At 36.2% G+C, this 27,131-nt stretch overlaps 1 protein-coding gene across 3 annotated transcripts in view; it reads right to left on the bottom strand.

Annotated features, from left to right (window-relative positions):
* Window positions 1-3,257: 3,257 nt before the first annotated feature.
* The window catches only part of FAM199X (family with sequence similarity 199, X-linked), a 38,837-nt gene continuing 14,963 nt past the window's right edge, over window positions 3,258-27,131 (bottom strand). For 2 of the 3 annotated variants that reach the window (XM_047441826.1, NM_207318.4), the window contains exons 2-6: window positions 23,318-23,537; window positions 12,945-13,094; window positions 12,539-12,700; window positions 10,854-11,120; window positions 3,258-9,552 (exon numbers count right to left, since the gene is read on the bottom strand). In XM_047441826.1, coding sequence (XP_047297782.1) covers window positions 9,382-9,552; window positions 10,854-11,120; window positions 12,539-12,700; window positions 12,945-12,962 — 618 coding nt within the window. In that variant the 5' untranslated portion in view covers window positions 12,963-13,094; window positions 23,318-23,537 and the 3' untranslated portion in view covers window positions 3,258-9,381. The remainder of the gene's footprint in view (window positions 9,553-10,853; window positions 11,121-12,538; window positions 12,701-12,944; window positions 13,095-23,317; window positions 23,538-27,131) is intronic. The other variant, XM_005262079.4, reaches the window with a different exon arrangement.

The raw sequence follows: 27,131 nt of genomic DNA, 5'->3' as shown, positions 1-27,131 counted from the left end.
TTTTAACAAGCCCTCCTGGGGATTCTGATCCACTGCTCAAGTTCGAAAACCAAGACAGATGATCTCCAAAGTCCTTTCAAGTTCTCAAATTTTATAATTTATTTGAAAAGTATACTCTGGTAAGTTAAAATGCAAAACAAAAACCAATAGTCTCTGTTTTATCTGTTAAAAAAGATTTAATTTCTAATAAATAAAAGGTTAGAAATGTCTATTTTTCCTTATATTCCCCATGGGATCCTTACATTTTTTTTTAAAATAAATACTAGGTATTTGAATCTGTTACATGTGGGCCGATTTCAGCTAAAAAAAAAGAAAATTATTAAGCCCAGAGGTAAGGTGGGACAGAAAATACCTGGCTCAGCTTATCTTGAACAGTTACTTTCCTGCCTGCTACTCAAATTATCCTGTGGCTTTAACAACAAAGTAGTGAGGAAAACAACTGGAATGTTTTTATCTAAGAATAATAGATACCTCACTTTCAATTAAAATGTGCTCAAGACACCATCAGGACCTATCAAGTAATAGTAAAAATAACTATTCTACCTTGGTGCTAGCAAAATGCAGAATGATTTTGAAATTAACACAAATGGTTATAATCTTGATGATTTTGAAATGAACACAATGGTTATGATTTTGATTTCAAATAGGTAGACCAGATATTTGATATTACAGAACTATTTTTATTTATAAATAAACAAGGTATATTTAAATAAATAATAAATAAGGAGGTATGATGATGGTATCATAATTATATATAAAATGGGAAGGCTGGGTGTGGTGGCTCATGCTTGTAATCCCAGCACTTTGGGAGGCCAAGGTAAGAGGATCACTTGAGCCCAGGAGCTCAAGATCAGCCTGGGCAACACAGGGACTCCATCTCTAAAAAAAAATAAAACAATTAGCCAGGCATGGTTGTGCACATCAGTGGTCCCAGTGGTCCCAATACCTTGGGTGACTGAGGAAGGAGGATTGCTTGGGCCTGGGCCGAGGCTGCAATGAACTGTGATTGCGCCACTGTACTCCAGCCTGGGTGACAGAGTGAGACTCTGTCTCCAAGAAAATAAAAGTGTCCTTACCTTTTAAAAATCATATACTGACATGTTAAAAAATGAAATATGTCACCTGGGGTTTGCTTTAGTATCACTGGGAGTTGAGGTAAGGTGAGTGGGTAGGTGGGAGTAAAAGACACAAGATTGTCTGTGAGAAGAGTTGAAGTAGATACAGGTATGTGTGGATTCATCTTACTGTTCTCTCTACTTGAAATTCTTTGTGTGTTTGTTTTTGGAGACAGGGTCTCGCCCTGTCGCCCAGGTTGGAGTGCAGTGGCGTGATCTTGGCTCACTGCAACCTCCGCCTCCCAGGTTGAAGTGATTCTCCTGCCTCACCCTCCTGAGCAGCTGGGATTACAGGTGTGTGCCACCACATCTGGCTTTTTTTTTTTTTTTGTAGAGACAGGGTTTCGCTGTGTTGGCAGACTGGTCTTGAACTCCTGACCTCAAGTGATCTGCTCACCTTGGCCTCCCAAATTGCTGGGATTACAGGCGTGAGCCATCGCGCCCAGCTGAAATTCTTTATAATACAAAGTTGAAAATACATAAATCCAATCTAAATACATATTTTTAAGATAAAAAAGCATGTAACAGGATCCTGGTAACCAAAGGAATAAACTGGAATGTTAAAATGTTTGCTCATTACAAAGAGAAGCAACACTATACCTAAATCTAGTATCTATCAACTTATTACTAAGAAACAAGGATACTGTAATACAAACATCTCACTTACCATGAGATCCAAACTGATGGTGAGAGGGCAGAGGATTGTCCAACTCAAGTAACAGTGACTATGAAGGCTCTCACAAGAATTATTAAAAAACACTTTGGGCCGGGTGCGGTGGCTCACGCCTGTAATCCCAACACTTTGGGAGGCCGAGGTGGGTGGATCACCTGAGGTCAGGAGCTCAAGAACACGTTGGCCAACATGGTGAAACCCTGTCTCTACTAAAAATACAAAATTAGCCGGGTGTGGTGGTGGATGCCTGTAGTCCCAGCTACTCGGGAGGCTGAGGCAGGAGAATCGCTTGAACCCGGGAGGTGGAGATTGTGGTGAGCGGAGATCGCACCACTGCACCCCAGCCTGGGCAACACAGTGAGACTCCATCGCCACTCACCTCCCTCCAAAAAAAAAAAAACAAACAAACACTGAGGGGATGATTCCGAAATTCACGTTTCTACTTATTTGTAAGCATAGTTTTAAACAACTGGAGTCTTCTAAAATGTATTCAGTTCTGTGTCACAGCACTGTCATTTATAATTGCTTTTTTTTTTTTTTTTGCATCGAAGGACTAACTCACAGAGAAAGCTGCATGGCAGCACTCTGCAACTATAAAATCTGTGAAACTGGCCCAAACTTCTCACATTATTCAAACATTAAATCTTATTCATAGTCAAATGAAATGGTCACTATGATAAATTTCTCCACTAAACCACCAAGTTCTCAAATTTGGTAGTGGCTTTAATGAAGCAGAAAATGAAATACAGGCTGGGTACAGTGGCTCACACCTATAATCCCAGAACTTTGGGAGGCCAAAGCAGGAGGATTGCTTGAGCCCAGGAGTTCGAGACCAGCCTAGACAAAAAACATTTTTTGTAGAGACCTTATCTCTACAAAAAATTGAAAAATTAGCTGAGTGTGGTGACATGTGCCCGTGGTCCTAGCTACTTCGGAGGCTGAGGTGGGAGGACCGCTTGAGCCTGGGAGGTTAAAGCTGTTGTGGGTTATGATCACACCACTGCATACCAGCCTGAGTGACAGAGCGAGGCCCTGTCTCAAAAAAAAGAAAAAGTTTAATCTCCCTCTCACACCAATCACCTACAACAGTTAACTGTGGGCAGCAGTTTTTTAGCCACTAATTACTGTTCACTGATAAAATGATGATAATGATCACTACATAAACCAGCAAATCTCTAGAGCAGCACTGTCCAACAGAACTTTCTGTGATGATGGAAATGTTCTACATCTCATGCTTTTCAATACAGTAAATAGCCTGTAGCCACATGGTAGCTACTGGATACTTGAAGAATTGCTAAGGAGACTAAAGAACTACATTTTAAATTTTACTTAACTTTAATTCATTTAAATAGACATATGTGGCTAGTGACTACCATAATGGATAGTACATTATGCACTGCCCATTATGGTAGTCACTAGCCACATATGGAGCTCTAGAGTACCTAAGAGAAGAAACACACACACGCACATTTCACTTAGTATCTAACTCACATTTATTAAAAATTGAAGATTACAGAAAAGCATAAGATTGGCATCATTAAACAAGCTTAATTAACTTACCTTTGACTAATAAATGAAAATATTTAATAACACTAAAGGAATTTTGAGAATAAGTTCTATTCCAACCTTAGAAATTAAAAATAAAAGCAAAGCAGCTATTCTCCAAAGGAGAAAGCAACCACAGATCTCCCTCTAGTGGCAAAAGATAAAGTTGCTGCTGAAAAGCTGAATTGCTCCTCCATACATAGAACTGCTCAGACATTTCTTCTATAAAATTCTAACTTAAGATTCTAAATCAATATATAAGGAAAATAGATCTATTTTTTGTCAAAAAAAATTAGACCTACTGCCCAGTAATAGCATGGATTAAAAAAATTAGACAATTTTCACTTACTATGAATGCTAATCTCTCTAGAAATCTGCTCTCTCTAGAAATCTGATCTGTCCAGAAAAAAAAATAAGTTTTGCCAATGACATTTGGGTATCTGGGGCTTTCACCAAATAAAAGTTTATAAAGCCATAACCAAACTGTGAGAAACAGAAAAGGGAGCAGTTCTCCTCTGTTGGTAAATATTCTGGGATAGAGCATGAAAGGAGCTGACTCAGAAGTATAAAGTAGTAAGCAGCAGTGAGTGGGCTGTGTAACAACTCAGGGTACATCAAAAGAAATAATATATTATAAGAGTTCTTAACCAAAACAACACTTTTCATTCTGGTATTCAGTTTCAAAAGACAGCTCTGCCACATTGCCAGTTTTAATTACAACCATACACACTCATTTAGATTTCACTACTGAACTACTTTCAAGTACAAGAAGGAACTCAAAATAGAAACGACTTATGATACAACTATTGTTATTCCCTCACAGCTTCAGGGAAAACAGGCTTTATATACACTGTAGTAAGTACAGAATGTACAGAAGACAGTTATATATACAAAAGTGCATTAATATAGTAATATATTTAGCAGTAATACAGGAAAAAAAAATCCTGGTTAACAATCTGATACATTACAGTATTTAAAACTACTTGAAGATTCTCCAAACCAGTCAACTTCCTACTTGCTTTGGTTATGATATTGCTGCTACATAACTAATCTTTGAAACTAAAAAGCAAAAACAAAAACCCACAATTTGAAATTTTTACCCATATGTGAATTGTTTTGCATATACTTGTTTACCATTAATAGCCTTTGACAATAGTCCTTAAATTCCCAACACAAAGGTTCAGAATAGATAATACTTGTTAAGTGAGAGTACTCAAATAGGAAATTAAATGGATCCACTACAGGAACAGACATTATCTGCTCCATTGTTAAAAGCCTCAGCTAGATAACCTAACCACAAATGTCAATTTCAGTCTCAGTTTAAATCCAATAGGTCAGCTACTGTTAAAAGAGCCAGCAGCTCCACAAAACTAGTCATGGCTTCAGGCCACTGTTCCTTAGAACAATTTAGAATATTAAGTGTTAACTTGTTATTTATACATATAGTCTACAACTACCTTTACATAGTCAAATGTATATGCATAATTAGAGCAAGTCTCCCCTTTTTCACCCCCATCCCTCACCACAAAAATGAACACAGATTTCCACAGGTTTTGTTGGACACAAAGATGTAACAAAGAAATGTGACAATTAAAAAAAGTACTACATACAGAATTTAGAGAAGATCAAACAAGCTTTTCTGAGTTCGGTATGAGTGTCAAATTAAAATTTAATTTGCCATTATATGCTCTAGGTTAAAACAGTAATTACCTTAATTTAAAAAATAACTAGAGGGAGAGCCAAAAAGAAATAATTTTAATGTTAAAAAAATAAGAAAATAAAATTTCAGTGAGTCAACTCAGATCTTCAGCAGTACCATTCAACTTCCTTACTCTTAATGGCCAGTTAGAAGAATTTTCAGAATTCCTTCTAAGGCTTCTGGAATAAGTAACTTATTTTCCAAAGAAATAAGACCTAAGCATTATAAGTAGTTATGTTCCGGATACTATGCTAACAAAGATGCCTAGCTTAAAATATCTCAGTTTTTATTCACTTAGCATAATTTTATTTTTAAGACAAAGTTTATCTTACTTTATCAGACTTAAAATGAATCCAAAGTTACCACAGTACATATGTATACAAATACTTATTTCCTAACTAACAGTCCTTTCAGAATTAAATTTACTTCTAGTTCAGACATGCTGAATGAGTCAGTGCCCTCAACATCAACACTATTATTTGAATGCAACTGGGGATTTTCCTATTAATTGTCCCAAACTATAAACGGACTGCGAGTACCCTTCAATTCCAAACAAATGTTTTTCCTTGAAGACAGAAGTGCTAAAAGTTCATTTGTTAAAGGAAAGAAGAGGAGTGTGTTCCAGCTATTACACAAATGAGTTCAAAGAATTCCTAGAGAATCAACTTGCTACATAATCTCTGTCCTTGAAGTGCTTTTGCCTATACCTTGAAAATTATCTTTCTAGATATTAAAAGTGATCTGGTTTGAAGAAGTATCCTGGCATATGATCTTTTTCAGAGGGAAAAAAATACATTAAGCCATACTTTAGATAACTTTCAAGGCTCTTCAATGATCTAGCTAGGCCGAAAATAAAGTTACACAAATGAAACTTAAAATTTGAAGGTTTTTGTTTTTATACTCTATTAGCATTGATTGGTTCGATTTAATGGCTTTGCTTACTGATATCCAATTCCATGGGCATTATGCAAAACAAATTACAACATTTGGATTGTTTTTGAGTTTTGAAAAGCCTGATATTGACAAAAACTAGAGTTCACCACCTTTAAGGCACATGAGGCTATACAGAGTAAGCCACAAACAAAAAGTCTCTGCTGGAGAACCCAGAAACAAACAAGACTTCTATATTGGTTGTGTACTAATATTTCTGGCTAAAATATGAAGACATTTGCTATATTTTATAATTTTTAAAGCTCATCAGAATCTGGATACCGCTATAGTTTCCTATAATTTTTCCTTTATGAGAGGATTTAGCACTTTTAAAAGCTAAATAAAATGAGAAGTTCACCCAATCTATAATGAGTCATTATTTTATAGGTCAGTTTCTGAGATTAATTCACCAATATCTAATTCACTCAAGGGACAGAGGAACTGGACAAAACTGCCATAGCCTAACAAAAATGAGGTAAGTCTCATGAAAAAAAAGTGTTATTTTATTCTAAGTTCTTGTTGGGAGAGAATGAACTAGCCCTTTATACCTCACTACACATTATAATACATCACCTTCCTTTAATTCAGTTGCAAAACTATAGAAAAATATTATATATGTCATTTTGTTAAATGCAAGTCTCATCCTTTAGAAAGCTGTAGTAGGAACTGAGATACTACTATAAGATCTCTAATAAAATGTTTCTGGATAAATCTGTGGGAAATGTATTACGCCCTCAGTTAACAAGGCTTATTTTCAAAGGGGAGACTTAAAATTTGCTCCAATGTCAGTTCTCTACAGATGAGAACCAATACTACAGCAAGTAAGTCTTGCCTTTTTATTAATTAATTGGTTAGTTAGGATTTGTATTTAAAAATAAATATTACTGAGTTGGATTGTTTTAAATTGAACTCAGAGATACACCATATTGAATAAATTATTACTTATTCCAAGAAAGAAATAGTTCAAACTTTGAATTATCTACACAAGACATTAAAACGGAAAAAATGTACAGCACATGAACAGACACCAAAGAGCTTTTTATGTCTTTCTCTGCTAGTTTCTTTTTTGGGGGGACAGAGGACTATCTAATCTCCCTCTTCAATCACAAGCAAGCCCAAGTTAGTTAATTATTTTCTTTTAATCAAAGGAAATATTTTCAATCTCCTTCAACCCAACTTTATGGACTATCTCTAATTTATAGTACTATAATGACAGTTCATCTGGATTTACACAAAATTTCATGATGCACTTCTATAAACATTCAAACCTTTACAAACGTTAAAAATCAACTTTGTGGCACTTTGGTAAACTTGCTTAATAGTGACTCAAGTTAAATTGAAAGTAATAAGACTATGTGATTATTGGGAGAGTAGGGGAATTGGTCTTAAATTATATCATGACCTTGTTTAGGGTTTTTTACTGATGACCGTTAAGTAAATAGTTTCCAAGTATTTGACAGATAAATGGTGCTCTATGGTCTCCAAAAGTGGCCTGTTTTCCTTGAAGAATAGGTAAAGACAGCAGGCAATCATTCTGTGGGATTTTGCTTTTGCTAAGAGCAGGTAGAGAATTTAGATACAGTTACTATGCTCTATTTGCTCTTCCTATACTTGGAAGGGAAAACAGTGAGGTTAAGTTGTTCCACCTCCACAGAGTATTCTGGTGTCTATCCCTAAGCTCTCTTTGGGTCCTCTAAGCTGGTTAGGAGAACCAAAGAGGGGAAGGGGGAAAGTAAGAAAGACTACTCCAATTGAAAACCATAGACACATATGTTTTATTTTAGTAAAAATTTCAAATTATGACTTTAGTAGTCTTTAAAAGGTTACAACCATATCACAGACCTTGGCAAAGCTGCAGTGTATTAATTTTTATCCCCAGTTTCCATTCTTTAACCTTCAAGGAACGAAAATGAAATCAAAATTTTAAAACACATGATTATAAGCCTTTGTATCAACTGAGAATTAAGAATTTAAGTCATGAATCTTTTTCTTAATAAGCTACTTGACGTAACAAAAAGTAAAAAAAAAAGAAATCTTACTAACCTCTGTACTCTTAGAGTTTGAAAAATATTGATTACAGCTCTTCCTACAGAATCACGGTCACCTTCAAAATGCTATCCACAATATAAAGAAAATTATGAAAGTCAGAAAGCAGCTTGATTGTCAGTAGTATCAGTTTCCATCTTCTTTAACCCATGTGAATGTTCAAGACATGTGGTAGAAGAAAAGGAATAATGCTATTTCTAATGTTCATGATAACAAACACTCTAGGAAAACATTTAAAGAAACTCCATGATTTCACAGTTAAAATTAGAGCTCTATTAATAACCAACAAGCTAAGGTGTTTTCTATATCTCATTGCTCTGTATATTTCTAGCAATTTATAGAGAAGTTTAGCAGATCTACAAGGGTTTTCATCAGTTAATTTTCAACATTAACTAGGTCACATGCCAGAAGCTGTTATACCAAATATTTAAAAATTAGAGCTGTGCTGAAAAAAAAATGACCTACAATAAGAACTTGAGAGAGATATAGACTGACTTCCTGCCTGAGACAATTTTACAGCCTAAAAATTCTGAAAGCAACAGAAAAGCAGAATTGCTTATTTTGCCTAATTACTTTCACCATTTAAATATTAATCAACATAGCATCAAGTCTAAAATTCAGCTACTAGTAACATTATTTCATCAGTAGTCATCACTTAAAAAAGGATTCTGAACTTACATAAAGTAAAAAACAAAAATAAATCTAATAGGAAAAAGATAAGGGCCTGTTCTAATACCTTTGAGTCAATAATGAATGAAAACAGACAGAACTAAAACTAATGAAGGCACTATCGTAAACAGCAATCCACACCTTGCCCACCCCCACACCTCAGAAAAGATTTCCACCAGGAATCAAGAATTATGCTATGGCCCTTTAGGAAAAGTAAACTAAGAAATTGTAACATTAAGAAGGGAACTAAATTATGATCTCTACACATGTATGTATACTGACATAATAAACTACTGTCAGCAGTACCTTGAAATCTTCTAAACTGTGTAAGTACTAGTCTTTGAAGACGCCCACTTCACCGCCATAAACTTTAAACAGTCAAAACGTTTACCCAAAGTAGTGGTTCTTAAACTAGACTGTGCATCAGAATAACCCAGCACTTGTTAAAAAAACAATGCTAGGCGCCTCCCTGTTGGTTTCTGATTCACTATGTCTGGGGGCGGGGCCCACTAGTATGCATTCCTAACAACTTCTCAAGTGATGCTGAAGCTGCAGGTCTTGGGATCACCTGCCAAGAACCACTGGCTTAAATTATTAATGGTACATCAGCACAGCCCTAACCAAAATTTTGGTCAAGATGCATGTAAACCCATAAGGATGGAGTATTTTAATGCTCACAAAGAACGTTGATAAATTCACCCTTATTACATCAAAACATCAACATCTGCTTCATGGTCTTCCTCAGTCACTTTCAAGGACAGCACCTCTTCGTTAAGGAAGAGCCCACTGAGCCTCTCCTTCCGGGCCTGCCTCTGCTCCTTCAGCTGCCTCTTGCGGAAGGCCTTCTGCTGTAACTTCCGCTGCTTGGATCGCTTCTGTCAAAATAAAAATTTCTAAATCAGTTTGGTTTAGTTTTTGGCATATCCACCCCAAAATGTTTTGTGGATCAAATTCTCTATTTTCTAACTTTAAGAGCTGTTCAAATCCTTCTGTAGTATGATCCTTGTTCCAATAAGTGAGCCACTGGCTTAGGCTTAAAAATGATTAAGATTCCAATTTTGTGGTATTTGACCAGTGACTCTTCTGATTAGGAAGAGTTGAGACGATCATTTTGGCTAGTGATAGATAAAAAGTCACTTCAAAGACTTCTTTTTTAAATTCCATTAAGGTACATTGGTACAAATGCATAATGAACACATAATTAATACTAGGCGACAATACTGAATACACCTGTGGAGAACATTGCCCAAATCTCTAATACTTATGATTCTCAGGTGCCTTTCATCCAAAAACACTAGCAATCTTACAATGGCAGGTAAAAAAAAAATCATGCCTTTTTTGTAGTAGGCGAATACCATCTTAAAAATCCATCAGAAACTCAGTGGATACTCCCATCCTTGTCACCGGTGAACTGATAATAAAAAGGAATGACCACATATCTAGAGAAATTCCTTAGCAACAAAACTGGCTATGTTTCTGCTACTTCCCTAAGAACCAGGGAAAGAATCATTGTGTATCTTCAAGTCACCACTGGGTCACTAAAGAGTTAGAGAGATTCTCTTATCATCTTTAAACTGGCTCCAGATTCTTGCCATTGCAAGGAATCAAACTCCCCTGCTAAGCCACAGGACCATTCTAAATATACTTATACCTTCTTTTTTTTTTTAAGTGCCCGACAATATTATACAGAACTTTCTCAACTGTGAAAAGAGTAGACAGAAATTATAGAAAGTATTAGATTTTTAAATTAGCTAAGAAGAAACATTTAAGATTAAAACATTAAGAAAACATTTAACACACACAAAAGACATACACAACATTCTTAGGAGCTAATAGACAGCAACATCAGCAACGTAGTGAGATTCGCTCAGTAGTGAGTTGCAGTCAATATTGCAATCTTGAGAATAACTCATTATTTCCACCAATTTATCTTACTTAAAACATACACAAAAATCAGGTAAGATTGAATGCAATATGGTTGTGGGTCAAAACAGCATTTCAAAGCACTCAGCCTAGAGTGCTTTGTTCAACAGCAGAGCATCCTGCTTGTTCAATTAAGACCAAAACCCACAGGCAACTAGACAGCAGGATCATTTTAACTCTTCAAGAAATTTATATGAAGGAGTACTAATGTTAATATTGAAAGGTAAAGTTTTGTATTGATTAGACGTTTTACTTTTGAATCCCGAATCCGCTCTGCTGCACTTGCAGACAGGTTGCTGTCACTGTGTGCTCGACTCATGTTGGCACTGGAGTTTGAAGCAGAGTTTCCAACACTGGACCCACTGCTGCTTGCAGAACTGACCATGCTGGCACTGCTGCTGCTGGCGCTGGCACTGGCACCGCTCACTCCACTGGTGCTTGCACAACTAAAGTTGCTTCTCTTCCAGGCCTCTCTTGCAGGCCGTTGGCGAGGGCTATGTTCCTTGATATAGTTTCTGACCTTGGGATGCACAAACACAAACTGGTTAGTGTTGCACCTTGATGTTCTACCTTCAAAATGCTGGGGGAAAAATAATATTGTACTTAATCTAAAAGACTGTCAAAAGTGCTGCAGATGCATACGTAAGGTAGAATAGAAAGGCTAAATTTAGAAATAAGTACTAGAAAATAAATGCTCAAAAAGCTAGAAAACACGTTATAGAGCTGGATTTTAAAAGCACATAAAATATAATCAGTAAATGGAAGGCTACTCGCCTTCAGAAATTTAGGACTGTAAAAAAATGGCATTCAAAATACAAACTAACAATAAAATAAAATAGATGAGATTAGGCATTTGTTAAAAGTCTCCACTTAAGACAATTTAAGTAAGCTGCTGATTTTATCTAAGATTAGGTTGTTTCCTAAATCTTAGCTAGGGGCCAACAATACCTGTCTTCAAATGCAAGACATCAATTTATCATACTAATGAAAAATTTGCTGGAATGTAGAAAATTATAGTATGTCTGCTGGGAGAAATACTGAAATAAGAGAAATTTTTCATAAATAATGATAAATGCAAAACAAAGAAACAAATCAAAAGTAGAACATAAGAACGTAAGTATTCACTCAGCTACGTACCAGAAAAAGAACAGCAAAAATTGTATTTAGAAGATACCAGAGGCCAGGTGCAGCGGCTCACGCCTGTAATCCCAGCACTTTGGGAGGCTGAGGCAGGTGGGTCACGAGGTCAGGAGTTCAAGACCAGCCTGGTCAAGATGGTGAAACCCCATCTCTACTAAAAATACAAAAATTAGCCGGGTGCGTTGGCAGGTGCCTGTAATCCCTGCTACTTGGGAGGCTGAGGCAGGAGAATCACTTGAACCCGGGCAGTGGAGGTTGCAGTGAGCCGAGATCGCGTCACTGCACTCCAGAGTGAGACTCTGTCTCAAAAAAAAAAAAAAAGAAGATGATACCAGAGTACCAGAGATGCGTATTTCAGAACAGCAGAGGGAAAATTCACTAGGTTTCACCCTAGCCTGGCTCAATTATTACTGCATAAAACTACTCAAATCCCTCAGCTGTTTATCAAAGAATAGCTCTCATTAATTAGTATTTTGATTGTCAATTAGTCTCCTGTAAACTGAGTTAGAATAAATCTATACCTTAACCTAACCACTCCGTAAATGGTGACATTAAATTTCAAATCCTATACAACTGAAAAGCAGGTTCTAGATTCACATTGATCCCAGAAAGGTACTGGCAGGTGAGATGTACATAAAACCTCTTAAATCAATGTGCCATCATTTTTTCTAATATTACCTTTCGCAGCAGTGATTTTGGCCTTAATTATCTATGTATTTACACATGATTATTTTAGTCTACATTTTATAAGATGGTGGTATTTTTAATAGGTAAATAATCTGTATTTTCTTTACATACCTGCTTCAGTTTTTCATCTGTGAGACAGTTAAGTTCAATAATAAACTCACTGTCTGTAGGGGAGATTTGAGCAGAAGGATCAATGATCTTAATAATATCAAGTTGCTCCCGAAGACCCATCTCAGTACTCACTTTCCGACTCAGATACTCAATATATTCCACCTATGTGATGAAAAAATTACAATAAGATCATTGCTAAAACTTCTGATCCTTTATTATGTCAATTATAATGTGTTTACATAGCAGAAGCACTTAAGGTTATATTTGTTCCCTGAAAAACCGTTAAAGCTCAAATTCAGATTTACTAAGCAATCCACATTTCCCCAGTAGCTTTAAACAGGCAATAAACTGAGCTTTACCTAGTCTCCACATAAAAGCTTTTAATTAAGAATGTCAAGATCTTTACCTGCTCATCATTTGTCATTGCACTCCAAGGGAGTTCATCTAAATTCCGGTGCTTGTTTTTCTTTTTAGGAAGCAGGCAAGGTGAACTTGGAATACTGGGTATGACATCAGAAAGTACATCACTCCCACTGGCAATGTCACTGCCTGGTAACTTTATAAAAATAAGGAGGGTGTGGGGAAGGAAAGCAAAATTTGTTCAGACTACATTTTAAATACTACAATATATTTTCCACATCGATTAAAAGTTAGTTTATGAGACTGACGTGCTGCTGGCTGTGCTAAGAGGGCTTCCTTTAATATAAGACTAATGGCAGCCCGGCGTGGTGGCTCATGCCTGTAATCCCAGCACTTCGGGAGGCCAAGGCAGGTGGATCACCTGAGGTCAGGAGTTCGAGACCAGCCTGGCCAACATGGTGAAACCCTGTCTCTACTAAAAATACAAAAATTAGCTGGGTGTGGTGGCCTGTGCCTGTAGTTACTCGGGACACTGAGGCAGGAGAATCGCTTGAACCTGGGAGGTGGAGGTTGCAGTGAGCCGAGATGGTGCCACTGCACTACTCCAGCCTGGGAGATAGTCAGACTCCATCTCAAAAGAAAAAAAAAGAAAAAAGACTAATGGCAAATATAGAATCAGAGGACATTAATTCTGATCCATGCCTATTTTATACAAAGCAGCAACATAAGTATATAAATATATATTCTTTGCATATAGTTATTCAATGAAAGATGTTTTTGAAAAGCTTAGACTCATAATCAAGACTTATTAAAATGGTAACCGAAGAGTCAATCATCATTAAAGTTTTTAATGTATAATGAGAATATGACTAGGGCCTCCACACTGTAATGAAAAAGAAGCACTGGTCTCCATCTGGGGAGACCTGAATGATGTGCCACTAACTGGCTTTTTGCCAGAGACTGTGCTAAACATATTGTCAATATAAAGACAAATACATCTTGGTCTTTGACCTCAAGTCTGTATTAGTGACCTCAAGACAATTAAAATAAATTAAGGCCGGGCAAAGTAGCTCACGCCTGTAATCTCAGCACTTTGTGAGGCAGAGGCAGGAGGACTGCTTGAGCCTAGGAGTTCAAGACCAGCCTAGGCAATGTGGCGAGACCCCGTCTCTCTAAAAAAAAAAAAAAAAAAAAAAAAATTATCATGCCTGTAATTCCAGCATTTTGCAAGGCTGAGGTGGGAGGATCGCTTGGGCCCAGGAGTTCCAGAGCAGCCTGTCCAACATAGCGAGACCTCATCTCTATTAAAAAAAAAAAGAAAGGAAAAAAAATTAGTTGGGTGTGGTGACACATGCCTGTGGTCTGAGATGTAAGGATCGCTTGAACCTGGGAGGTTGAGGCTGCAATGAGACGTGTTTGTGCCACTGCATACCAGCCTGGACGACAGAGTAAGACTCAGTCTCAAAAAATAAATAAATAATAAAATAATTTTAAATATGCTGTTAAAATAAAGTAAAACACTTTAAGAACCAGAAGTATTACAAGAGAAAAATTAGAAAAAAATCATAGAAGACAAAGTGTAGACAAAGGAGGAATAAAAGCAAGCCTAACATACAGAAAATCAATTTAAGACAAACAGCAAAAATACATGCTATAATTTTATATATATTTATGTATACTTTTGCACATATGCATATACTCAAGTATATGCATGGTCACCGCCATGACCAAGGTTATAAATATATCCATTACCTCCAAAAGTTAGAATGGATTTAATTTTAAATAAATATATTTAAGTCATTCATCAAAAAGGTAAAGTCTTTTCTTCTACAAGGAGCAAATGACAATTTTCAAATATACTGACTTCATTTTTACAAGGTATAAAACAGTACCTTTTTGCTGTGTTTTGGTTCTATAGAGCTTGCAACTGTATCTGAACTCTGGATGATTTCTAGGCTTCTGCGGTTACCAAAAAAGCGAAGAGCTACTTTAGTCATGAAGACTATTGTGATCACATGTATTTGAACTCCTACTTTGTACACAGCAGTATAATAGGTACAGGGGATTCAAAGCAGTGTTAAGTCCTTACACAAAAACTTTACTTGGGAAAGTAATACAATAACACAGACATACAATTATACAACACAGCACATGATGAATGCTAGGTTTCAGATGACAGGTCATCAATGGAAATATCTAGCAGTGGGCTGAAGCTGCAGGATTAAAGTTTGGGAGAGTTGCAATGGACTGCAGGCAGGCACTGGGGAATCAATCACAAAGAAATACATGAAACCACAAAGATAGGAGTCAATCACTATGCAAAAGATGACTATGATGTTTAAAATGAAATTGTCTAAGAGAGAGGCCATTCTTTCTACACCCCCATAAGTAGCTACTACTCTTAAAAACCACATTTTCACTATGACAGTTATTGACAAGTCCAAGTACATAAGTGACTACCAACAATCTGTATAACTTCTTTTAAAATCTCATTAACGGCTGGGCGCAGTGGCTTATGCCCGTAATCCCAGCACTTTGAGAGGCGGAGGTGGGTGGATCATCTGAGGTCAGGAGTTCGAGACCAGCCTGGCCAACATGGCAAAACTCCGTCTCTACTAAAAATACAAAAATTAGCTGGGTGTGGTGGTGCGCACCTGTAATCCCAGCTACTCAGGAGGCTGAAGTAGGAGTATCGTTTGAACCCAGGAGGTGGAGGTTGCAGTGAGCCGAGATCGTGCCACTGCACTCCAGCGTGGGAGACAGAGCGACCATCTCAAAAAAAAAAACAAAAGAAAACAAAACATAAAATCTCATTAACTAACACTGCTTGAACTGTTCACCCTTGACCCTAATTGTTATCTAGGTGGTGTTATGAAAGGATGATTGCTGAATGCACATATGAATACCATCTCTTTTTCAGCCTTTAATTGCAAAAAAGAAAATGCGTGCTATTTTCTCTTTGACTTCAAATCACATCAGAAATCTCCCTGTGGCCCCTAAAAAAAAAAAAGAGATACTTCTTATCAGACAAAAGGCCTCCCCTACATCAAGTTCCTTTGATAAATGAGGTAAACGGAAGAACTCTTGAAATACCTATACTTTCAAAATATAATAAAAAAAATTCACCTAAATCTTGGAGAATATCTGCCAGGCACTTAAATTTGTACCTTTACTTCTCTTTATGCGTTTGTTGGGGAGGGAGGGGTGTAAAAAAGGTAATTAATGGTACCTTGGTCATTTTTTTTTCAGGGATAAGTAAAAAGATCCCAGAGTTCAAATCCCAGCTCCACTGCTCACTAGCAGTGTGACCTTGTGTAGGTTAGTTTGTTTCTTTGAGCCTCAGAGTTAGTAGTAAAATGTGGTCAATATCATCAATCTCGAAGGATTGTTGAGTGGTTTAAATGTGGTAACATGCCTGGCACACAGGCAACACTCAATAAAGAGATATACTTTTCTTTTTCCATCCCTTGCCATGGTTTTGGACCCTTAAAAAAGCAGCACAATCCCTCAGAGAATGTCACATGTTGCTAAAGTGCCTGGGTTAATTTCACAAGGCAGTGTTTCAGAATGATAGGGGGAAAAGGAAAAGACATTCAGGTAAGGAGAATAATTTAGTAAAGTCATAGATGGAAAAAAACATAGTATGAGGTGACATATATTCTAGATATCGTATCATTTAATCATATGTCAATATGATTAACACAGAAAATCAGTGCTAGGGATTTGAAAGCTCAACAGAAGAACCAGAAACCGTCATATGATATGCAGAAGTAGGCCGATAACATTTTCTAAGAAGTAACTTGATGAAACTGGTCTTTAGGGAAGATCAGCTAAAAAGCACTATGGGGACAAAATAGAGTGAGGAAAGATTGGAATTAGATAGGAAGCTCTTGTAATCTAGGCGTGGATGAAAATAAGCAAACATGGAAAGAAAAATGGGAATAGATAGGAAAAATATAACATGAAAATTTACAAAGCCGAGCGCAGTGGCTCACACCTGTAATCCCAGCACTCTGGGAGGCCGAGGCGGACAGATCATGAGGTCAGGAGTTCGAGACCAGTCTGGCCAATATGGTGAAACTCTGTCTCTATTAAAAATACAAAAATTAGCCAGGTGTGGTGGCGTGCACCTGTAGTCCAAGCTATTCGGGAGGCTGAGGCAGGAGCATCGCTTGAACCCATGAGGCAGAGGTTGCAGTGAGCCAAGATCGCACCACTGCACCTCCAGCGTGGACGACAGAGTAAGATTACATCTCAAAAAAAAAAAAAAGAAAAAAAAGAAAAAAGAAAAAAAATTACAAAGCTGTTTGATAACTGAATGGATAAGGTAATAAAGAGTCTCATGTTGAGACCAGAAAAAAATTGGTGACATTTCAGGTCATACAACCCACTCAGAGTGATACACTTAAAGACCTCAATTTTCATAGCAAGGTAACTGAAAGGATGTTAAAGATCTTCTAGTCCAACATCCTCATTTTACATATAAGAAAAAAATGATGTCTGGGGAGGGTCATACAACTAGTGGCAGAATCCAAAGTAGGACACCAATCTAATGCTTTCAACTATGCTGAACAGTTTTGCCTGTCTGGTAAGTTTGTAATAAGAGAGGAATGCAATTTGGGATATAAAGAGTTTGTAGTGATAACGGGAGAAGCAAGCACAAGTGTCCTTTGGACAGACAATAGTAATTTTTCAGTAAGTTGTAAGACATGTCACTAAGCAGAGTCTATTTTTTCCATGGAAACATTGTAATTGGAAGTTGCAACACTGCATCAAAGACTCAGCATCAAATAATGGGTTAGTATTAAATATTAAGGTCATCTAAGTGGAAATGTCAAGTAGTCAACTGGAGATACGGGATTAGACTAGCGGTTGTACAGGAGAATTGTATGGGCTCCTGTATATTTATTAGACCAGCAATTTTCCATTTTATAACTGATACTATATTTCAGAATAAATACTTAATAACTCTCAGCCCATATTTTTCATGGGCAATATTTGGCATATTTATATTATGATCAGTAATTGTGAAACATAGGGAGACTTAAATCTCTGCCATATTTTCTGCAGAATGCAGCAGAATTTTATGAGTAAGCTCATTTCTGTAACAGCTGATATGTAATTTCAGATTGCACCTCTAGGTTTCAAGTGTGACAGCTGATTACTCACTGTTTAAATTTTCTAAGCTTTCCTGATCAACAATAGAAATAATTTCTCAGACTCTTAAGACTACTCAAATATATCCTTAATAACAAAAGGACTGAAAGCAAAGAAAATTATCAGCAAAGCAAAATGCAAAGATGCTAATTCATTCTAAGGTTAAAATCTCATCTTATTAAGTAGTGAGCATTTTTCTTCCCAGAGAATCCATAAATCATTTATATTTACTTTAGTAGTAACTAAAGCATCTGTTAAAAAGAAAGATTTAAACAGATGTAGTTTTTAATCATAACAGAATACAAATTTTTTAACTATAGTAATGATTTTTAATCCATATTAATCCTAACATACAATTTGTAATTATATTCTTGGATAATTTACTGCTCATGATTACAAAATCCCACAAATACAAGACAGCACTTTAAATCTTTCAGCATATTTAAATAGCAGATATCCATGGTAATAGAGTATCCGTATTCCAATTTCACAAGTGGGAAAACACATTACTAAGGCAGGTCTGATTTTTGTTCTGACATCATAGTCACTCATGTACATTAACGGTGAATGGCTGGGGATGGTTTTCCACTCTTAACTACTCATAACATGAGTGAAGAAGCCAGCAATTAAAATTTAAAAATGCCTGCCACCTTGCAACATTATGGATGATAACTCTAAATAAATCACATAAAATAAGCAGAAGAAATATTTCTTAGAATTATCAGGACTCCTATCTGATTTATGCTTTACTAAGAATCCTTGTAGTCTGATTTTAAATACAAAGTCTGTACTGAGAAAAAAAAAAAAAAAAAAAAAGAGACACTGGCTGAGCACAGTGGCTCATGCCTGTATTCCCACCACATTGGGAGGCCAAAGTGGAAGGATCGCTTGAGCCCAGGAATTCAAGACCAGCCTGGGCAGCAAAGTGAGACCCCGTCTCTACAAAAAAATTAAAAAAAAATAGCTGGTTGTTGTGGTGCCCACCTGTGGTCCCAGCTACTGAGGAGGCTGAGGCAAGAGGATTGCTTGAGCCCAGGAGGTCAATTCTGCAGTGACCCATTTTTGCATCACTGCACTCCAGCCTGGGTGACAGAGCCAGGCCTTGTCTCAAAAAAAAAAAAAAAAAAAGGAAAAATTCATTATCAATATCATGAAAAAGTTTGTATCTTAAATGAGAAAATCTTATTAAAAAATTTTAACCAGAAGAGGAAACACTTCCTACCTCCTTATGAGAGGCCAGTATTACCTGGACACCAAAGCTAGACAAAGACACAACTGAGAACGAAAACTGCAGACCAATATCCCTTATGAATATAGATGCAAAATTCCTTAACAAAATACTAAAAAACCACATCGAGAAGCAGACTGAACCTCTCCCCTAAGATTAGGAAAAAGACAAGGATGCTCACTTTCACCACTTCTATTCAACACTGTACAGGAGATCTAGCTAGGGCAATTAAGCAAGAATTAAAAGGCATCCAGATTAGGAAAAAAGAAGGAAAACTATCTCTAGTCACAGATGACATGATCTTAAATATAGAAAACGATAAATAATCCACACATGGGAAAAAATTATTAAATCTAACATGATTTTAGCAAAGTTGGCAGGATACAAAATCAATATACTAACACCAACTGTATTTCTATACATACACTAGCAATGAACAATCTGAAAATAAAATTAAGAAAACAATACTATTTATAACAGCACCAAAAAGAATACAATATTTAGGAATAAATTCAACCAAGAGAGTGTAAGACTTAGACATTGAAAACTACAAAACATCATTGAAATAAAGAGGCCCTAAATAAATAAGATATTCCATCTCATATTAATGAATCGGAATATTTAATATTGTTAAGATGGCAATACTCCCCAAAGCAATCTACAGATTCAATGTGATCTCTACCAAAATCCCAACTACTCTTTTTTGAAAAACGGGCAACCTGATCCTAAAATTCATATGGAATTGCAAGGACCCCAAATAGCTCTGTTGCCCAGACTAGAGTGCAATGGCGCAATCTCACCTCACTGTAACCTGCACCTTCAGGGCTCAAGCGATCTTCCAACCTCAGCCTCCTGAGTAGCTGAGACCACAGGTGCACACCACCACGCCTGGTAAATTTTTGCATTTTTTTTAAAGACACAGGGTTTTGCCTTGTTGCCCAGGCTGGTTTCGAACTCCTGGGCTCAAGCTATCTACCCACCTCGGCTTATCAAAGTGCTGGGATTACAGATGTGAGCCTAAACAATCTCTATAATGAACAGCAAAGTGGGAGAACTAACACATCTCAATTTCAAAACTTACTGAAAAGCTATAATAACTAAAACAGTGTGGTACTAGCGTTAAGGACAGACACATACATCAATGGAATATAATTTAGAGTCCAAAAATAAACCCACACATCTATGATTAATTCATTTTCGAAAGGGTGCCAAGATGATTCAATGAGGAAAGAATAATATTTTCAACAAATGGTGCTGGGACAACTGGATACCTACATGCAAAATAATAAATTTGCGAGCCAGGTGCAGTGGTGCATGCCTGTAGTCCCAGATACTCAGGAGGATGAGGTGAGAGGATTGCTTGAGCCCAAAAATTCGAGACCAGCATGGACAACATAGTGAGACTCTGTTCTTAAAAAAGGAAAGAATGCACCTGTAATCCTAGCACTTTGGGAGGCCGAGGCAGGCAGATCGCCTGAGGTCAGGAGTTCAAGACCAGCCTGGTCAACATGGTGAAACCCCGTCTCTACTAACAATACAAAAATTAGCCGGGTTTGGTGGTGGGTGCCTGTAATCCCTGCTACTCAGGAGGCTGAGGCAGGAGAATGGCATGAGCCCAGGAGGCAGAGGGTGCAGTGAGCTGAGATTGCGTCACTGCACTCCAGCCTGGGCAACTGAGCTGAGCGGGACTCTGTCTCAAAAAAACAAACAAACAAAAAAAAACAAAAAAAAGAAAGAATGAATCTGGACTCCTATCTTACATATCATATACAAAAAGTAACTCAAAATGGTCAAAGACCTACATGTAAGAACTAAAACTCTAAAAGTCTGGGAAGGAAACAGGTGAAAATCTTCCTCATCTTGGATTACACAGTGGTTTTTAAAATATGACATCATAAGTACAGCCAAAAAAAAGATAAATTAGACTTCATCAAAATTAAAAACTTTGGTGTCAAAGGACACTATCAAGTGAACAAATGCTAACAAGCAAAAAGACAACCTGCAGAATAAAAACATTTTTGCAAATCATATATCTGATAAGGGTCTAGTAGCCAGAATATAGAAAGAACTCTTACAACGCAACCATAAAAAGTAAAATAACACAATTTTAAAAGCAGCAAGGTATCTGAATAGATATTTCCCCAAAGAGGACACACAAATGGCCAATAAGCACATGAAAAGATGCTCAAAACCATAATGAAATACCAATTTATACCCAGTAGGATGGCTACAAACAGAAAGACAACGCCAAGTGTGGACAAGGATGTGGTGAAATGGGAACTTTCATACGCTGCTGGTGGAAAAGTAAAATGGTGCAGTCACTCTGGAAAACATGTTGGCAGTTCCTCAAAAAGTTAAATAGCAAGTGATCATATGATCCAGCAATTCCACTCTTTGGGGTATATTCAAGAGAATTAAAAATATAAATCCACATAGAAACTTGAACCTGAATGTTCACAGCAGTATTATTTATAACAGCCAAAAAGTAGAAACAACCCAAAAGTTCATCAGGTAATGAGTGGATGAACAAAATGTGGTACTGTACATCTACACAATGGAATATTAGCCATAGAAAGGAATGAAGTACTGTTATATGGTACAACATGGATGAACCTTGAAAACATTATTCCAAGTGAAAGAAGCCAGACACAAAAGGCCATATATTCATCCATTGATATGAAATATCCACAAAAGCAAATCCATAGAGAAATTAGATTAGTAGCTGCCAGGTGATAAGGGGGAGGGGAGAATTGGGACTATGTGCTAATGGGTATAGGATTTCTTTTGGGGTTGACAGAAATGCCCTGGAATTAGCGGTGATGGCTGAACAACTGTGAGTATATTAATAACTACTGAATTATACATTTCAAAATGATGAAAATGGTGAATTTCATCTCAAATTTTTAAAAAGTTTAAAAATGTTTTAATCCAAATAATATGAAAAACAAAAATGGAAGGGTTGTGAATTACTTTTTTTCTTAAAAAAAAATCTCATCTTTTCAGTGTAGCATTGTTTATAACAACAAAAAACTGAAACCAACCGAAATAGCCATAATTAGGAAATGGATTAAGTAAATTATGATCCAGTTATGGAAAAGAATGAGATGTGTTAGCTGAAAAAAAGCATAGGGCCAAACAGTGGATGAAGTATAATCCCATATGTTTTTAACAGTATGCAAACATACTTATATCTGCATAAGCTCCTAACAGTGGTAACCATAGTAGAGTGGGACTTGGAGACTTTTTTAAATTTGATGCCATTCTGTATTATTTGAAAGCTGTTTGAAATTATAATATTCAATCCCTCTTTTGGAATAAAACTTCAAGTATTCAGATGGCTTTCAAATGTAGCAGACATTCGAGTTTATCTAGCGAATAAAATCTTTGCTGTAGGCAGGGAAAACGTCTTTAAATGTTTTATTGTTTTTACAATCAGAATATGAATGTTGTAATAACACAATCTAAATTTTCTGACAAACTGCACTTATTATAAGGCAGGATTTTCAAACAATTTACCACAAAGCCATTTTACATGGTATATATGCCACAAGAAAAAAGTGTCAGGCGAAAAACATGTCTACATACAAACAGAATACAAAATGAGAAATTATATATTTCTGATGACAGAACCAAAAATCATGTATTTATGGTAATAACAGTTTATGATATTAGGTACATAATGTGACTGATATTTGTCCTATAAGGACACAAAAGCTATTTATTATAGGGTAGGAAGTGTAACTTTGCTTGGATTCATGCACAGAAAGGTACCGATAATATATAATAATGGTAATATTACGCAAGTATTAAATAACATAAAAATCTACAAAAGGATATCTATAGCATCAAAAAGGTACATTAGCAAAAATAAAGATATCCCATCCAATTCTTAACCTTAAAACATGTCAGAGAATCTCCAGGACTGGATAAACATTAGAGAAATTTACTTTGAAGTAGAGATGAAAATATCAAAAGAAAAGTTTATACTTCTACTTCGGTAGTAACAATGTCAAGAAAAGGACAAAAAAACTTACCTGCCATTCAAACTCGCTATCTGACCAATCCCAGTAAGTGCTAATAGAAGAAGAGACATCACTGCAGACACTCCCCTCAGGAAATAAATCAAAAGAAGTGAAGTCCTGATCATCTAACAGGGAATAGCAATCATCTTGATCTCCAACAGACACAGATGAAAACAGCTCCTCACTGCCTTCTGAGCTGGCAACACTTGTTCCACAAGAAGTTAGGTTCCACCTTCAAAAACACAACACGAAAGAAATCAAGAGAACTACAGAATCCATACAATTTTAAGATATAATTAACAGGACATATTTATAACATTTATAAGGAATGTGAGGTTTTTTGTATTTTTAAAAGAGCCCCTACCTTTTAAGGAAATATACTAAAATATTTATGAATGATACATGTCTAGGATTTGCCTCAAAATAAGGCAGGGGTTGGGGAGTGGATAGAGGTACAGATGAAGCATGATGCCGTATATGAATAAATGTTGAAGCTGGGTGACAGGAACATGGGGTCCATTACACTTTTCTCTCTACCTTTGTAGCTGTCTGAAAATTTTTGTAGTACACTATTTTAAAAGAAAGTAGTATTTAAATTAGGACTAAAGTAAAATCTTCATCCATAAACAAAGCATACAGCATAGTGGTTATGAGTAAGCTCTGGAATCAGACAGTTCAAATTCTTGCTCTGTCACTTCCTAGCTAATTGATTTTAAGCAAATAACACTCTCTCCAAGTCTGTGTCCCAATGGAGGTATCGTGATGATCACATGAGAATGCATACACAGCACTTGTAGCACACATAAAAAGTGCCCAATATATGACAGCTATTATTATTGTTAAAGGAAGAGTGGGGCCATTGCAGGGCAGAGAAAAGCACTAACAAGCATCTACACAGGTAGATGTTCAAGAAGTATTTGTTATATTTAAGTAACTTTTTCATATTAATGCTGTACAGGCTCATTGCAAAGATGTTGGAAAGAAAGGAATGAATAATAAAATGATCAATAATTCCATTATCCAGCAATAACTAATCTATAATATTTTGGTAGTTTATTTTTATGTGCATACATATTTTTTACAGAATCAGCAACCATTCTGTGTATATATATTTTAGTATATTGCTTTTTTCACTTAACATTAATATGCTAAACATTTTCCTAAGTATATTACTTGAAAACATTTTAATGCCTATATAATATTCCATTGGCTAAATGTATCATAATTTATTTAACTTTATTCCCCAATGATACATAAGCTGTTTCTAATTTTTTAATATTAGAAATAATACTGAGATGAGCATTGTTTATAATTATTTATCAAAATATATTATCTCAGGATACAGTTGCTTGAAAGGTAAGTACTGAGTCAAAGAATATGAACATTTCTAAGGATCAATTTAGTCAACACCTTTCTGAAAGGCAGCATCAATTTATACTCCCCAGGGCAGTATATAAAAGTGCTCATTTCATCACAATCTTAACAGCACTAAAATTGCTAAAAATTTTTTTACCTATCTTATAGGACAGAAACTTCTTGCTTTTTTGAGACAGGGACTCACTTCTCTCATTGAGGCTGGAGTACAGTGGCACAAACACAGCTCACTGCAGCCTCAAACTCCCAGGCTCAAGCGATTCTCCCATGTCAGCCTCCAACTCCCAGGCTCGAGCGATTCTCCCATGTCAGCCTCCCAAGTAGCTGGGACCACAGGTGCAACATGCCCACTTAATTATTGTATTTTTTGTAGAGATGGGGTTTTGCCATGTTGCCCAGGCTCGTCTCAAACTCCTGAGCTCAAGCCATCTGTCCGCCCCAGCCTCCCAAACCACTGGAATTACAGGCATGAGCCACTGCACCAGCACAGAAACATTTTTATATCAAGTTTTATTTATTTAATTACCAGCAAGATCAAATTTTTAAATATTCATTAGCTATTTCGCTATGGTGTTTTCCTATGTGCTAATATTTTCATTACTAATTTTGTAAGAGTTCTTTATGTATTAAGGATATTAACATTTTGTCTACAGTATTTATTGCAGGGTTTTTTGGTTGGATCTTTTTTTGGTCTTGAAATCTATCAATCTGTTTTCCTTTGTAAATTTCCACTAGTTTTATACTATTAATAAGATAATCTTCATTGCTTTGCCAGTAGCATAGAGAATTAATCCTTAAGATAATTATTTAGTATTTCCAGTACTAACAAGCTCCTGAAGTAATGACTTCCTTATGAAAAGTCTGTTATTTACCTATTATTAGGTCGTGTCTCATCCTTCATTAAATCTACTGTTTCTTAAATTACGCACTTCATTTTTTTTAACTTCCTCCATTTTGTATGGCTAATCTTTTAGAAGTTCTTGATTTACATACAAAATTTGGACAACCTGAAAAACTTTATGGTACCTTTTCTTTTGAAGGTAGACCATTTTAAAACACTGAAACACACACACACTATTATAATTCAGTAAATAGAAAGTAGATGTCAATAAATTTTTATAGATAGTAAAAAAAATAAAATTCATCTAAGAATCCTAGAATATCTTGTAATATTACTTTCATCACATGCTCGCTAGGTGAACAGTATCCTCATTTTAGAAAAATTTTTAATTAACCAAATTATCCCAGGTCTTGCAATAAAAGTTATGAAGAGGAATCATACCCTGGTTTGAGACCAGTCTGGGTAACAAAGCAAGACAGTATCTCTACAAAAAGTTAAAAAATGTGCTGAGCAAGGTGGTGCATGTCTGTATTCCCAGCTACTCTCGGGAGGCTGAAGCAGGAGGATCCCTGGAGCCCAGGAGTCTGTGGTTATAGCAAGCTGATCCTGCCACTGTACTCTAATCTGAGCAACACAGCAAGGCCTTATCTCAAAACAAAACAAAAATACATTCTGGACACAGTAAGCCTTATCTACATTATGTCCTGAGCAAACTATTTTTCTCTTGTGTCTTCAAATTACATGTGATTTTTTTCCCTTTATTCATTCACTCATTCAACAAACATTTAGTCAGTATCTTCTATGTACCAAGTACTATGTTCGGTGCTAGGAAAAACTGTTAGATAATTGTTTTTAATTAGAATTTCTTTTTAGTTTGTAAAAATTCTGTAGAAATGTGTTTCTCTCCATGAGTAATAGTGACATTCCTTAAAAAAAAAAAAAAGATGCCATATTTAGTAATCTAACCATTAGATCACTGCCAAAGGAGTCAGGAATTTGCTTCATTTTGTGCTCTTACCTTTGGGCAAAGTCAATGTGTTTCTCAGATTTGTAATCATCACAAGGTTCTGAATGTTCTTAGAAGTCTTTGTCTTTTGTTTTTAATTATCAGCAGCAAGTAAACCGGGCTCATAATTGAACAAATCATTCATAAAATAGAATAACAGTATTTTTTACTAGTAAAGATTGTAACATTTTTTATATCTTCCTTTTTTTTTTTTGAGTCAGGGTCTTGCTCTGTCAACCAAGGCTGGAGTGCAGTGGTGCGACCATGGCTCACTGCAGGCTTGACCTCCTGGGCTTGATTCATCCTCTCACCTCAGCCTTCCCAGCAGCTGGGACTACAGGCACATACCACCACGCCTGGCTAATTTTCACATTTCTTTTTTTTTTTTTTTTTTGGAAGAGAAAGGGTTTCATCACGTTGTCCGGGCTGGTTTCAAATGCCTGGGCTCAAGCAATCCTCCCACCTTGGTCTTCCAAAGCGCTGGGATTACAGGTGTGAACCAATGCACCTGGCAAAATTTTTATATCTTCTAATTTGCAAATTTTTAAAATCATAATTTTAAGGCAATATAGATAAAAACAAAGTAGGAAGTACTTTCATCCATT

The sequence above is a fragment of the Homo sapiens genome, chromosome X (genome assembly GCF_000001405.40).
Source record: "Homo sapiens chromosome X, GRCh38.p14 Primary Assembly".
NCBI classification, from domain to species: Eukaryota; Metazoa; Chordata; class Mammalia; order Primates; family Hominidae; genus Homo; species Homo sapiens.
This window is presented reverse-complemented; position numbering and strand designations above follow the sequence as displayed.